Source organism: Homo sapiens, chromosome 5 (assembly GCF_000001405.40).
Source record: "Homo sapiens chromosome 5, GRCh38.p14 Primary Assembly".
NCBI lineage: Eukaryota > Metazoa > Chordata > Mammalia > Primates > Hominidae > Homo > Homo sapiens.
In genome coordinates this window covers 40372488-40373857 of record NC_000005.10, presented here as the reverse complement: position 1 = coordinate 40373857, position 1370 = coordinate 40372488, and positions in this window count along the sequence as shown.

Genomic DNA, 1370 nt, shown 5'->3' with positions numbered 1-1370 from the left:
TAACAATTCTGAATTCTAGACATCTAATAGCATAGCATTAAAATATATAAAGTAAAAGTTGGCAAAATTGAAAGGAAAAGTTGACAGGATTTTCATAAATGTCTCTCAGATCTGAGAAACGATGTGCAAAAATTAGAGAGCATATGAAGATTAGAACATTAAATTTTTATGAGTTCAATAAGATTTTGGTATAAAAAACAGACAAAATATGGGTCAGGAAAATTTATAAATCAATCTCACTCATGAACATAGATTTTTAAATCCTGAAAAAATAATAAATTAAATGCAGGAGTGTTTATTCTATGTACATATGCATATATGTTCATATACATACATATCGAAATGTGAAATTAATAGATGAATGCATAAACAAATGTATCTTGACCAAGTCGGATTTATCCCATTTTTCCAAATTATTTGTGTAGATTTCTAAGTTGAAATACTAAAATGATTTATGTTAATTAGCACAATAGTAGATTAAAGGAAAAAATCTTATGATTGCTTCAATAGATTCAGGAGAAGAAGTATTAGCATTCAATCATCACTCATGACAATAGACAAAACTCATAGCAGACCAAGAATAGCAAGAAACTTCCTTATTCTATTAAAGGCAATCCACTAAAAACCTATTATAAACATTGTTCTTCTTGGTGACGTATTAAAAATCTTCCCTTGAAAATTAGGAATAAAGTAATAATGTTTGCTATCAGTGTATGAGTTCATCTGTAGGTACATCTATATAGATTCATATGGTAGTAGGTATTATAGGGATAGTTGTGCATCAGAAACAAAGAAGATACATAAGAACTGAAAAGAAACAAAACACTAATTTGCATACCACATGATTCTCCACATAGAAAACTAGAGAGGTTTTTTGTTTTTTTTTTTTAATATCATTGTTGGATTAATATAAGAATATCAGAACTGAGTGTGGTCGCTCACAACTGTAATCCCAGCACTTTGGGAGGCTGAGGCAGAGGATCGCTTGAGCTTAGGAGTTTGAGACCACCCTGGGCAGCATAGTGAGACTTCATTTTTACAAATAATAATAATAATAATAATAATAATAATAATTAACCAGGCATGGTGGTGTATACCTGTAGTCCCAGTGACTGGGGAGGCTGAGGCAGGAGGATCACTTCAGCCCAGGACTTTGAGGCTACAGCGAGCTACGATTGTGCCACTGCATTCCAGGCTGGGTGACAGAGCAAGACGGTGTTTGAAATAAAGAAAAAGAAAAGAAAAAAAATAATGTGCATACCTATACGCCAACAATGTGTAGGTATAAAATAGTTGGAGCTGATCATTAGTCACTCTCTGGAGTTGGGGAGAGGCATCCCTTGCTACAGACCAAGGAAACGCTTTTTATC